Consider the following 12621-nt stretch of genomic DNA (forward strand, 5'->3'; position numbering starts at 1 on the left):
ACAGTTGATCCTTGAACAACATGAGTTTGAATTGTGTGGGTCCACTTACATGTGAATATATTTCAGTAAAAGTTAGACCAAGTGGGCCCACCTCCCCTGCCTCCCCTTTCACCTTCTCCTTCTCTTTGACTCCTCAAACCACTGATACAGCAAGACCTTCTCATCTTCCTCCTTCTCCTCAGCCTACTCAATGTGAAGACAACAAGGATGAAGACCTTCATGATGATCCACTTACACTTAATGAATAGCAAATATATTTTATCTTCCTTATGATTTTTAAATACATTTTCTTTCCTCTAGTTTATTGTTAGAATATAGTATATAACATATATACAAAATATTCATTAATCGATTTTATATTATAGGTAAGATGTATTAGTAGTTAAGTTTTGGAGGAGTCAAAAGTTATACGAGGGGGGTTGATGCAACTGTAACTGACCAAGCATGCTAACTAAATGTCCCTACAGGTATAAGGCCAATCATTAACTTAGGTAACAGCTTAAGTATATGAATTGTAAAGAGTAAGGACATTTTCCCTACACTACCCCTCTCCCTACATCCACTATATCCCTTTCATCCATTCAGTGTGACCAGAAGTTTCATTAAATGGGGATACCTTTAATTCCACCACTCGAACTAAAATGCAAATATCCCCTCTGGAGAAGCAAAACTTTGGCATAAATTTTTGTTGAGTTGCAAATAAGTCATATAGGTTACTCTGCCCAGTGCACCATTTATAGAGGCTGGGGTGGTCGTGGAAAAAGAGCATCTATCATCCCTGCAGGTCTCAATTCCCCTTAGCATCAGCCCTGCTGTGGCCACAGGCCAATAAAATCCTGAAGCATCAGCCCACCAGCAAGTAGAGCCTGGAAAACATGCTGTTTTCACAAATACTGTGCCTAGAGCATGAATTCGTCCTGTAGGTGTCCATGTGATCATCTGAACCAAGTTTCTCAATCAAACACCCACCCCATGCAGCCTGGCTACCTAACTAGCTACTTGGCCAGAGTCGCAGGCACCTGGGTCTCCCTCCGAAGGAGGGAACCTATTTCTAAATCCTAGTTAGCAATTAAGAGACCTGGCTTTCTTGCTCTCCACTTTCACTAAAAAAAAAATTTCCAGGATTCTTCTTAGGGAGGCCTTTCGACCAGACCTGCCCTGAGAATCCTGCTGCCCCCGGGCAGTGATGTCCGCATTCTTTGACTAGTAACTCCCCTCAGCCATTCTTCTCTCCCTGAATAGGAACCTGAGTTTTGCCTCCCACCCTCTAACTTGGGCTTGGAGCTGCTCATCCCACTCCTGCCCTGGTCATTATACCCTAACCCTTGCCAATCCTGGCTTAGTACCAGTTTGCTTCCTCCTCTGAAGGAATTTCTGCATTTTTGTCAGCCCTAGTCACTTGATTTACGACTCCAAGAGAAGGAAAAAGGTGGGGAGTAGGGAAATAGGAAAAGGAACTACTAGAGACGACAAAAATTAAAACTTCCATCTGCCTCACATATTTTGCCTAGTCTAGAACTGGTTAGTGGCATAGGTTTTAAATTTCATGTACTCAGAATTTCTTCAAAAAGCTTCTCTAACTGTAGCTTCTCTGTTTTGGCTGTAGGACCCTCTCTCAAACAATGCCCCACCAGATTGAGGCCAGCATACCCTGGAGTAGCCAGTTCTGCAGGATCCTGGGTGTCAGCCAAGCTCAAATGCCAAAGTAAATAGAGGAGGGAGGGGGCACAGGATGAAGAGACCAAAGAAAGGGGCATTTCCCAGTCTAGACAGGAGCGCTGCTTTTTTTAAAAGCTGTGTTTTTAAAACTCTGCTCATTCAAAACTGTAAATTCTTAAGAAGTAAGTTTTCCTTTCACTAGTGGCTATCTCACTTTTTTGTTGGTTTGTTTTGCTATATTTACAGCACGGGATAGGTTGGTTTTATTTTTCCATTGCACACAATAGCATTTAATATTTAGCATTTCATCAGTAAGATAGTTATAAAACCCATAGTTCCAAAAGAAATGTAATGCTTCATTGTATGTTAGATGAGTACGTAGAAGCCTTTAATCATAAGTTTATTCAGCATTTTAGATACTTTTGAAATTATTTTTTATAGAATAATTTCATCATAAGTAGCAATATCTCAGATTTATTTAACATATAATTTAAGAGAGGGCAGTGTTTCAAAGTGGAAAACAAACTAGACTAAGAATCAGAAGTTCTAAATTCTAGACCTTTTAATAACTGTTGAAGTTTAGGTAAAGCCTCAGACTTCTCATCTGTAAAATGCAGGAGCTGAAAAAGGAGACTGCTTAATTCAGTTTTTATCCAGCTCAGTAACTTTATATGCCAAGAGTGTAGTGCAGTAAAAAAAAGAAATGCACTTGGATTCAAAAGACTCACATTTTAATCTAAGCGCTGCTTCTAACTTTACTTGTGACATTGAGCATTTACCTTCTCCTGTTTCCCTCATCTGTAATAAAAAGGAAATGGAACAGATGTTGTCTAAGGACATTTCCAGCTCTAAAATTTTATATCAAAGAAAAATGTCTGTGGTGCACATGCTGTCTTCCGTTTGCATGTAAAATGTGATGTTTTGCTCTAAGCAACCTAAGAGAAATACATGTATTTGTAAAGCATTTCCCGAGTTTGCTGGAACACACTTTTATCCCACGAACAGTGAACCTTAAGTTCTCAAGGCAGAAAAGCTGTCTTAAGAGCCTTGTTTGCTTCACCTCTCTTCTGAGTACCTAAGCTCAGGCTCTGCAATTGAGCTTAAACCTTATTACTACAAAGCTTCTTCCAAGTGACTTCTGTAGGCCATAAAGACAACTATAATCAAATTTGGTTTTTACCTCCTGTTTATAAACATGCTTCTTAGGTCAAAAAGCGACTTCTTAAAGGTTAAAAAGCCACTTATCAAATAAACTGAACTTTTAAATTTTCTTACATAAAATGCTTAATCCAAAAGTATTTTTGTGTTTACAATTCCTGGGGTTTTTGTTGTTGTTGTTGTTGTTAAAATGCCTTAACTATTCACATAAAGTATCTTGCTTCAAAAGGAAGTCAGAGCTACAGTCACGAGTGGTTTACAGAATATTTTCTGATAGTCTTTGCTTCATTTCAGTATCGTGCCATGATTGGCTGTTGCTAGCTACAAATAAGGAAGTCTTCAAGTTGGGGGATTTCTCAGTGGAAGTTCCCACTTCAACATAAGGGAGAGCTCTGGACAGTTTGAGCAGCATTGTTAGAGCCTGTGGAAAACACTTTACAACTGTGTAACTGTCTTCATCTTTACAGAGGAATAGTCTACAAAGGAAGACTTGTAACCTGGAGAAGAGGTAATCTAATTTCAATAGTTCCTACTGATTCTTAACCTAGGAAAGGGGCCTGGATGTCTTAAACTGAAGTGTTGCAGATGTGTTACCCTCTTACTCTTGCTATGTGAGTAATTTATGACATGATTCAATAATGCCTTTGTAGTTAACGTCATAGTTAGAAATTTGGCCTTTAAAAAATGGCTGGACGTGGTGGGTCATGCCTATAATCCTAGCACTTTGGGAGGCCAAGGTAAGAGGATCACTTGAGCCCAGGAGTTTGAGGCCAGCCTGGGCAACATAGTGAGACCCCATCTCTATTTAATAAATAAATAAGTAAATAATGGGGTCCCTAGCCAAGACCAAGGAAAATTTTAAATTTTTTTTAATTTTCTTTCTAACTTTTAAGATAGAATTTATGTCTCTACCTCAATGATTTTTTTAAGTTTATATCTGGAATGAGAGCCTTCTCCAATGAATGATTTTTATAACATAATGTTGACATTATGCTGAAAGATATTTGGCTTAAGTTGTTCATAACTTACTAGGCTGAAAAGTAAATTAAAGTAAAAATGTATTCATACTTTTTTGGTTATATTTTTAAAAATCGATCCTGGCCTGATCCAGTGTGTCTATACAAACATTAACTCAAGGCTGGGCATGGTGGCTCACTCCTGTAATCCCAGCACTTTGGGAGGCTGAGGCCGGCAGATCACCTGAGATCAGTAGTTGGAGACCAGCCTGACCAACATGATGAAACCCCGTCTCTACTAAAAATACAAAAATTAGCCGGGCATGGTGGTACATGTCTGTAATCCCAGCTACTTAGGAGGCTGAGGCAGGAGAATCACTTGAACCCAGGAGGCAGAGGTTGCAATGAGCCAAGACAGCACTATTGCCTAGGCAACAAGAGCAAAACTCCGTCTCAAAAAAAAAATAATAATAATGATTAACTCAAGTTTAGTATTTTTCTCATCTCATAAAAAGCACATGATAGTGAATATTTCATTACACTAAAGTGTTAATCTTATAGACAATGCTGCATCTCCTTGGACCATTTAAACTTACACAGTTATAGTAAACTAGTCTTATTCTATTATCAATTAGCCCTCATATTTTCACAACCAAAAATGAACATTAAATACCATGTAATATTTCATTAAGTTATTTTCTTAAGAATAATCATAGGAAAAATGACAGCTCAAAAAGATTAAAAGTCAAGAATTATTATCACTATTGTTACATTATTATAATAGCTGTCATATTCAAGCTTGTAAGTGGCAGAACCAGGGCTTAAACATAAATTCATATCACCTCTTTATCCAGGGCTTTCTGTTACTACTGCCCTGCATTCTTATAATGTTAAAATAATATTTGAGAGATGTCATATCCCAAAAGATGGAGATTCTTATGATAGAAAAAGGAAGATGACTTGGCCATGTTCACGCAGCAACCAAGTCATTTTTAGAAGCTAGGTCTTTCTTCTCACTCACCCACTCCCATCTCTTCACTCCCTCCAGGATACACTTCCACATGCATACAGGTGGGCACACTAGTGTGCCTCCAAGCAGTTAGCTTCAGAGCCGGAAGAAGATGTGGGGTTGTATACCCAGTCTAACCTGCCTTCAGGTTCTGCCCAGCAGCCAACTGGGGACCTAGAGCAATGTCTAGTTACTTCTTTTAAACACTTATGACATTGAGTCATAGAGATAACTAACTAGATGATTAAAAATAAATAAAGCTCCCCTGAAAAAGTTCTGATTAGAATTTCATGAAACTTATGCACTAATTTGAGGAAAGTGATCATCCTTATAGCATAGAAACTTCCTGCCTGAATATTCTATTAATATGTCTTTAATGTATTAAGGCCTCAGTAGACATAGAAGTTCTTTATTTATCATTAAATGTATTCCAATATATTTTGTTTTGTCTTCTTGTGTGTGTAGTAAAGGTACTTGATAGGGATATTCTTTCCACTATATTTTCTAACTAATTATTGCTGGCTTCTTAATTTCACAAATTTATCTTTCATCTAGCAATTTTATTGATCCCTCATTTTTTCTAAATTACTTTAGGTAATTAACATGTGATGCCTAGACAGAAAAAAATACAATTATGTATTATCCCTTTTTTTCCTCACCACATTGGCCAGAATTTCTGGAACAGTGTTTAATAACAGAGAAGAGAGCAGTCAACCTTGTCTTGTTTCTGATCTCAGTGGGAATTTCCCTAGTGGTTAACATTAAGAATGAGGTTGGCTGTTGGTTTGAGATAAGTACATTTATCATAAAAACCAAATAATTGCCAAGTACCTTGTTTACTAGAGGCTTATTTAAATAAAAACAAAATAGAGACTTCATGTTAAACTGTACTCAATGTCTTTTTGATATCATTAGAGACAACTGTATGGTTTTTCTACTTCAAACTGTGTAGTGGTCTGCTGTTACACAAGAGAGTCATTGCATTTTTAAAAAGTCCATGTCATCAAATATTGTGATATGAAAATGATTGCTTTGGTAATAAAGGTAGATTTATAGTTATGAGCTATGATTTATTGTTGCTCCAATTAAAATAATAAATTGGTAGTTCAAAATAAACCAACCAAACCTACACGTTTCCTCTTTTTCTCTCCAATCCACATGCTTAGACACCTCTTCTCTATTATTTTGGCTTCATAATTCTGTTCCCAACTCAAACTAACAGAAAAAGAATGAAAACAATGTGACATAAGCCAAGTAACCCTATCCAGGCATAGCAGCCAAATAAACAAAGCAGCTATTCCTACGCTTTGTGCAAAAAGCCTTCTTCCTATTATGACAGTGCTAGCTGCAGACCGCAATTTAGTTACAACTGTGGTAAGCAAAATGTGTGTCCAAATTGATTAATCTTATATCCAACTTATATTAAGAAAATGTATGCTAAAGAGAAATGTTTGAAATTTGCTAAGAATTTTTAATATTCATATTCAAAACTAGAAGGTTAGTATTTTTGTTTTTATATTCATAAGTCTGTAAAAATTAGTCTATATTTTTATTTTCTAGAACATATCACTGATAGGTTTCAGTTTTAAAATGAGACTAGCTTAATAAAGTAAAATGATAAAAATACCAAAATGTTCCAAGTTCTAAAGAAAATTCAATAGGAGTTATCTGTTCCTTGAAATGTTTAAAGAAGAATCCATAATACTGTTGGGCCTTGGCATCCCCTTTTGAAAATAATTCTTTAAATGCTTACAATGTCTTCCATTGTTATTGATCTATTTGGGGTTTATGCTATTTTTCATGCAGCTTAGTTTACTTGCTTTTGCTTAGAAATTACTCTTTTTAAAAATTTTTCAAATATATTGGCATACATGGTATTCCCTTGAACTTTTTAAAATCATCTCCATAACTATGTGGATAACCCTTTTTCATGATGCATTTTGTCCATTTGTCTTTTCTTTTTTTTTCTGATTGGATGTCACAGAACTAATTTCTTGGATCTATTTCTTCTATAGTTAGCTCTTTGTAAAATTGTTTTTGCTTTATCTTTGTTAATATTTTCTCAATGCCTTTTTTAGACTATTTTAGTTTTCTAAGTTTGTGAGTTGAATTATTAGTTCATGTATTGTTATTCTTTCTTCTTTTATAATGAAAATATTTAAGGCTAGGAGTTTTTTAGTACTATTTTAACATCTTACAACTTCTGATACATTGCTTTCACATTTCACTGTCTTAAAGTTTTTAATTGAAGTTTTATTTCCTCTTTGATCAGATTTATTTAGGATAGTAAGGGTTTTTTTTTAATGAATAGTCTGTCTTTTTTAAAACCATTTTAGATTTAGAGAAAAATTCAGCGAACACTGCAGAGAATTCACATATACCACCCTTCCTACCCCCACCACTCACAGCATCCCCTATTATTAACAACTTGCATTAGTATGGCACATTTGTAACAATTTATGAACCAATATGGGTACATTATTATTAACTCAAGTCCATAGTTTATTCGGGTTTTCTTATTTTTTCCCTTTTTAAAATTGAGGTGAAATTCATATAACACAAAACTAATCATTTTAAAATGAACAATTCAGTGGCATTCAGTACACTGACAATGTTGTGTAAGCACCACCTCTATCTAGTTTCAAAACATTTTTACCACCTCAAAAGGAAACAGTGTACTATTAAGCAGTTGTTCTGCATTTCTGACTCCCCTCAGCCCCTGGCAACCACAAATCCGCATTCTGTCTCTGGATGCATATATTCTGAATGTTTCATATAAGTGAAACCAGACAGTGTGACTTTCTTTTTTATTATTATTTTACTTTAAGTTCTGGGATACAAGTGCAGAACATGTAGGTTTGTTACATACATATACGTGTGCCATGGTGTTTTGTTGCACCTATCAACCTGTCATCTAGGTTTTAAGTGCTGCATGCATTAGCTATTTATCCCTCCTTCCTCTTGCCCCTCAACCCTGACTGGCCCCAATGTATGTTGTTCCCCTCCCTGTGTCCATGTGTTCTCATTGTTCAACTCACACTTATGAGTTAGAACATGCGATGTTTGGTTTTCTGTTCCTGTGTTAGTTTGCTGAGGATGATGGCTTCCAGCTTCATCCATGACACTGCAAAGGACATGATCTCATTCTTTTTTATGGCTGCATAGTATTCCAGGTGTATAAGTACACATTTTCTTTATCCTGTCTATCACTGATGGGCATTTGGATTGGTTCCATGTCTTTGCTATTGTAAATAGTGCTGCACGAAACATATGTGTGCATGTGTCTTTATAGTATAATGATGTATATTCCTTTGGGTATATACCCATTAATAGGATTGCTGGGTCAAATGGTATTTCTGGTTCTAGATCCTTGAGGAATTGCCACACTGTCTTCCACAATAGTTGAACGAATTTACATTTCCACCAACAGTGTAAAAGCATTCCTATTTCTCCAAAGCCTCGTCAGCATCTATTGCTTCTTGTTTGTAATAATCACCTTTCTGACTGGCATGAGATGGTATCTCATTGTGGGTTTGATTTGCATTTCTCTAATGATCAATGATGTTGAGCTTTTTTCCATATGTTTGTTGGCTGCATAAATGTCTTCTTTTGAGAAGTGTCTATTCATATCCTGTGCCCACTCTTTGATGGGGTTGTTTTTTTCTTGTAAATTTGTTTAAGTTCCTTGTAGATTCTGGATATTAGACCTTTTTCAGATGGGTAGATTGCAAAAATTTTCTCCCATTCTGTAGGCTGATGCTCACTCTAATGATAATTTCTTTTGCTGTGCAGAAACTCTAGTTTAATTAGATCTGATTTGTCAATTTTGGCTTTTGTTGCATTGCTTTTGGCATTTTCGTCATGAAATCTTTGCCCATGCCTATGTCCTGAATGGTCTTACCTAGGTTTTCTTCCAAGGATTTTATGGTTTTAGGTCTTATGTTTAAGTCTTTAATCCATCTTGAGTTAATTTTTGTATAAGGTGTAAGGAAGGGGTGCAGTTTCAGTTTTCTGCATATGGCTAGCCACTTTTCCCGACACCATTTATTAAATGGGGAATCCTTTCCCCATTGCTTGTTTTTGTCCCATTTGTCAAAGATCAGATGGTTGTAGATGTGTGGTGTTATTTCTGAGGTCTCTGTTCTGCTCCATTGGTCTATATGTCTGTTTTGGTACCAGTACCATGCTCTTTTGGTTACTGTAGCCTTATAGTATATTTTGAAGTCAGGTAGCGTGATGCCTCCAGGTTGTTCTTTTTGCTTAGGATTGTCTTGGCTATATGGACTCTTTTGGGGTTTCCATATGAAATATAAAGTAGTTTTTTTTCTAATTCTGTGAAAAATGTCAGTGGTAGTTTGATGGAAATAGCATTGAGTCTATAAATTACTTTAGGCGGTATGGCCATTTTCATGATGTTGATTCTTCCTATCCATGAGCATGGAATGTTTTTCCATTTGTTTGGATCCTCTCTTATTTCCTTGAGCAGTAGTTTATAGTTCTCTGAAGAGGTCCTTCACATCCCTAGTTAACTGTATTCCTAGGTATTTTATTCTCTTTGTAGCAATTGTGAATGAGACTTCATTCATGCTTTGGCTCTCTGCTTGTCTATTATTGGTGTATAGGAATGCTTGTGATTTTTGCACACTGATTTTGTATCCTGAGACTTTGCTGAAGTTGCTTATTAGCTTAAGGAGGTTTGGGGCTGAGATTATGGGGTTTTCTAAATATAGACTCATATCATCTGCAAACAGAGACAATTTGACTTCTTCTCTTCCTATCTGAATACGCTTTATTTCTTTCTCTTGCCTGATTGCCCTGGCCAGAACTTCCAATACTATGTTGAATAGGAGTGGTGAGAGAGGGCATCCTTGTCTTGTGATGGTTTTCAAAGGAAATGCTTACAGCTTTTGCCCATTTAGTATGATATTAGCTGTCATAAATAGCTCTTTTTATTTTGAGATATGTTCCATCAATGCCTAGTTTATTGAGAGATTTTAACATGAAGGGATGTTGAATTTTATTGAAGGCCTATTCTGCTTCTATTGAGATAACCATGTGGTTTTTGTCATTGGTTCTGTTTATGTGATGGATTATGTTTATTGATTTGTGTATGTTGAACCAACCTTGCGTCCCAGGGATGAAGCTGACTTGATCTTGGTGGATAAGCTTTTTGATGTGCTTTTGGATTCGGTTTGCCAGTACTTTATTGAGGATTTTTGCACTGATGTTCATCACAGATATTGGCCTGAAGTTTCTTTTTTTGTTGTGTCTCTGCCAGGTTTTGGTATCAGGATGATGCTGGCCTCATAAAATGAGTTAGGGAGGAGTCCCTCCTTTTCAATTGTTTGAATAGTTTCAGAAGGAATGGTACAAGCTCCTCTTTGTACCTCTGGTAGAATTCATCCATGAATCCATCTGGTCCTGGGCTTTTGTTGGTTGGTAGGGTATTAATTACTGCCCCAATTTCAGAACTTGTTATTGGTCTATTCAAGTATCACTTCTTTCTGGTTTAGTCTTGGGAGGGTGTATGTGTCCAGGAATTTAACCATTTCTTCTAGATTTTCTAGCTTATTTGCATAGAGGTGTTTATAGTATTTGCTGATAGTAGTTTGTATTTCTGTGAGGTCAGAGGTGATATTCCCTTTATCATTTTTATTGTGTCTATTTGAGTCTTCTCTCGTTTCTTTTTTATTAGTCTAGGTAGTCATCTATTTTGTAAACTTTTTCAAAAAAACAGCTCCTGGATTCATTGAGTTTTTGAAGGGTTTTTTGGTGTCTCTATCTCCTTCAGTTCTGTTCTGAACTTAGTTATTTCTTGTCTTCTGCTAGGTTTTGGATTTGTTTGCTCTTGCTTCTCTAGCTCTTTTAATTGTGATGTTAGGTTGTCAATTTCAGTTCTAGCTTTCTGATGTGGGCATTTAGTGCTATAAACTTCCCTCTTAACACTGCTTTAGCTGTGTCCCAGAGATTCTGGTACATCATCTCGTTTTCATTAGTTTCAAAGAACTTCTTGATTTCTGCCTTAATTTCATTATTTACCTAGGAGTCATTCAGGAGCACATTGTTCAATTTCCATGTAGTTGTGTCATTTTGAGTGAGTTTCTTAATCCTGATTTCTAATTTGATTGCACTCTGGTCTGAGAGACTGTTATAATTTCAGTTCTTTTGCATTTGCTGAGGAGTGTTTTACTTCCAATTATGTGGTCTATTTTAGAGTAAGTGCCATGTGGTACTAAGAAGAATGTATATTCTGTTGATTTGGGGTGGACAGTTTTGTAGATTTCTATTAGGTCCACTTGATCCAGAGCTGAGTTCAAATCCTGAATATCCTTGTTAATTTTCTATCTCGTTGATCTGTCTAATATTGACAGTAGGGTGTTAAAGTCTCCCACTATTATTGTGTGGGAGTCTAAGTCACTTTGTAGGTCTCTAAGAACTTGCTTTATGAATCTGGGTGCTCCTGTATTGGGTGCATATATATTTAGGATGGTTAGCTCTTCTTGTTGCATTGATCCCTTTACCATTATGTAATGCTCTTCTTTGTCTTTTTTGATCTTTGTTGGTTTAATGTCTGTTTTGTTAAAGACTAGGAGACTAGGACTGCAACCCCTGCTTTTTTTTTTTTTTTTTTTTTTTTTTTGCTTTCCATTTGCTTGGTAAATGTTCCTCCATCCCTTTATTTTGAGCCTATGTGTGTCTTTGCATGTGAGATAGGTCTCCCAAATACAGCACACTGATGAGTCTTGACTCTTTATCCAATTTGCCAGTCTGTGTCTTTTAGTTGGGGCATTTAGCCCATTTACATTTAAGGTTAATAATGTTATATGTGAATTTGATCCTGTCATCGTGATGCTATCTGGTTATTTTGCACACTAGTTGATGCAGTTTTTTCATAGTGTCATTGGTCTTTGTTGATGTTGATATTTTGGTGTGTTTTTGCAGTGGCTGGTACCAGTTTTTCCTTTCCATAGTTAGTGCTTCCTTCAGGAACTCTTGCAAGACAGGCCAGGTAGTGATGAAATCCCTCAGCATTTGGTTGTCTGGAAAGGATTTTATTTCTCCTTCTCTTATGTAGTTTGGCTGGATATGAAATTTTGGGTTGAAAATTATTTTCTTTAAAATATTGGCCCCCACTCTCTTCTGGCTTGTAGAGTTTCTGCTGAGAGGTTCACTGTTAGTCTGATGGGCTTCCCTTTGTAGTTTACCTGGCCTTACTCCCCAGCTGCCCTTAACATTTTTTCCTTCATTTCAACCTTGGAGAATCTGATGATTATGTGTCTTGGGTTTGATCTTCTAGTGGAGTATCTTAGTGGTGTTCTCTGTATTTCCTGAATTTGAATGTTGGCCTGTCTTGCTAGGTTGGGGAAGTTCTCCTGGATAATATCCTGAAGTGTGTTTTCCAACTTGGTTCCATTCTCCCTGTCTTTTTCAGGTACTCCAATCAATCGTAGGTTAGGTCTTTTTACATAGTCCCATATTTCTCAGAGGTGTTGTTCATTCCTTTTCATTCTTTGTTCTCTAATCTTGTCTTCATGCCTGATTTCAGCAAGATGATCTTCAAACTCTGATATACTTTATTCTGCTTGGTCAATTCGGCTATTGATACTTGTGTATGCTTCACGAAGTTCTCGTGCTGTGTTTTTCAGCTCCATCAGGTAATTTTTGTTCCTCTCTAAACTGGTTATTCCATTTAGTAGCTCCTATAGCCTTTTATCAAGCTTCTTAGCTTCTTTGCATTGGGTTAGAACATGCTCCTTTAGCTCAGTGGAGTTTATTACCCACCTTCTGAAGCCTACTTCTGTCAATTTGTCCATCTCATCCTCCATTCAGTTCTGCATC

At 36.6% G+C, this 12621-nt stretch overlaps 1 protein-coding gene and 1 long non-coding RNA gene across 4 annotated transcripts in view, besides 5 other annotated features; one reads left to right on the forward strand and one right to left on the reverse strand.

Moving 5' to 3' along the window:
* The window catches only part of TANK-AS1 (TANK antisense RNA 1), a 64199-nt gene that overhangs the window by 37647 nt on the left and 13931 nt on the right, over window positions 1-12621 (reverse strand). The window lies entirely within an intron of this gene.
* Window positions 3060-3399: an enhancer, noted in NCBI's record as "active region_16703". NCBI's record gives its function as "activates an Ori minimal core promoter by ATAC-STARR-seq in GM12878 lymphoblastoid cells {active_cell/tissue: GM12878}" and the evidence as "EXISTENCE:reporter gene assay evidence [ECO:0000049][PMID:35858748]".
* The window catches only part of TANK (TRAF family member associated NFKB activator), a 99268-nt gene continuing 89871 nt past the window's right edge, over window positions 3225-12621 (forward strand). For all 3 annotated transcript variants that reach the window (XM_047441820.1, NM_004180.3, NM_133484.2), the window contains exon 1: window positions 3225-3325. The gene's annotated coding sequence lies outside the window, so the exon portion shown is untranslated. The remainder of the gene's footprint in view (window positions 3326-12621) is intronic.
* Window positions 6004-6173: a silencer, noted in NCBI's record as "silent region_12051". NCBI's record gives its function as "represses an Ori minimal core promoter by ATAC-STARR-seq in GM12878 lymphoblastoid cells {active_cell/tissue: GM12878}" and the evidence as "EXISTENCE:reporter gene assay evidence [ECO:0000049][PMID:35858748]".
* Window positions 7353-7402: a silencer, noted in NCBI's record as "silent region_12052". NCBI's record gives its function as "represses an Ori minimal core promoter by ATAC-STARR-seq in GM12878 lymphoblastoid cells {active_cell/tissue: GM12878}" and the evidence as "EXISTENCE:reporter gene assay evidence [ECO:0000049][PMID:35858748]".
* Window positions 7413-7512: a silencer, noted in NCBI's record as "silent region_12053". NCBI's record gives its function as "represses an Ori minimal core promoter by ATAC-STARR-seq in GM12878 lymphoblastoid cells {active_cell/tissue: GM12878}" and the evidence as "EXISTENCE:reporter gene assay evidence [ECO:0000049][PMID:35858748]".
* Window positions 7703-7762: an enhancer, noted in NCBI's record as "active region_16704". NCBI's record gives its function as "activates an Ori minimal core promoter by ATAC-STARR-seq in GM12878 lymphoblastoid cells {active_cell/tissue: GM12878}" and the evidence as "EXISTENCE:reporter gene assay evidence [ECO:0000049][PMID:35858748]".

The sequence above is a fragment of the Homo sapiens genome, chromosome 2 (genome assembly GCF_000001405.40).
Source record: "Homo sapiens chromosome 2, GRCh38.p14 Primary Assembly".
NCBI lineage: Eukaryota > Metazoa > Chordata > Mammalia > Primates > Hominidae > Homo > Homo sapiens.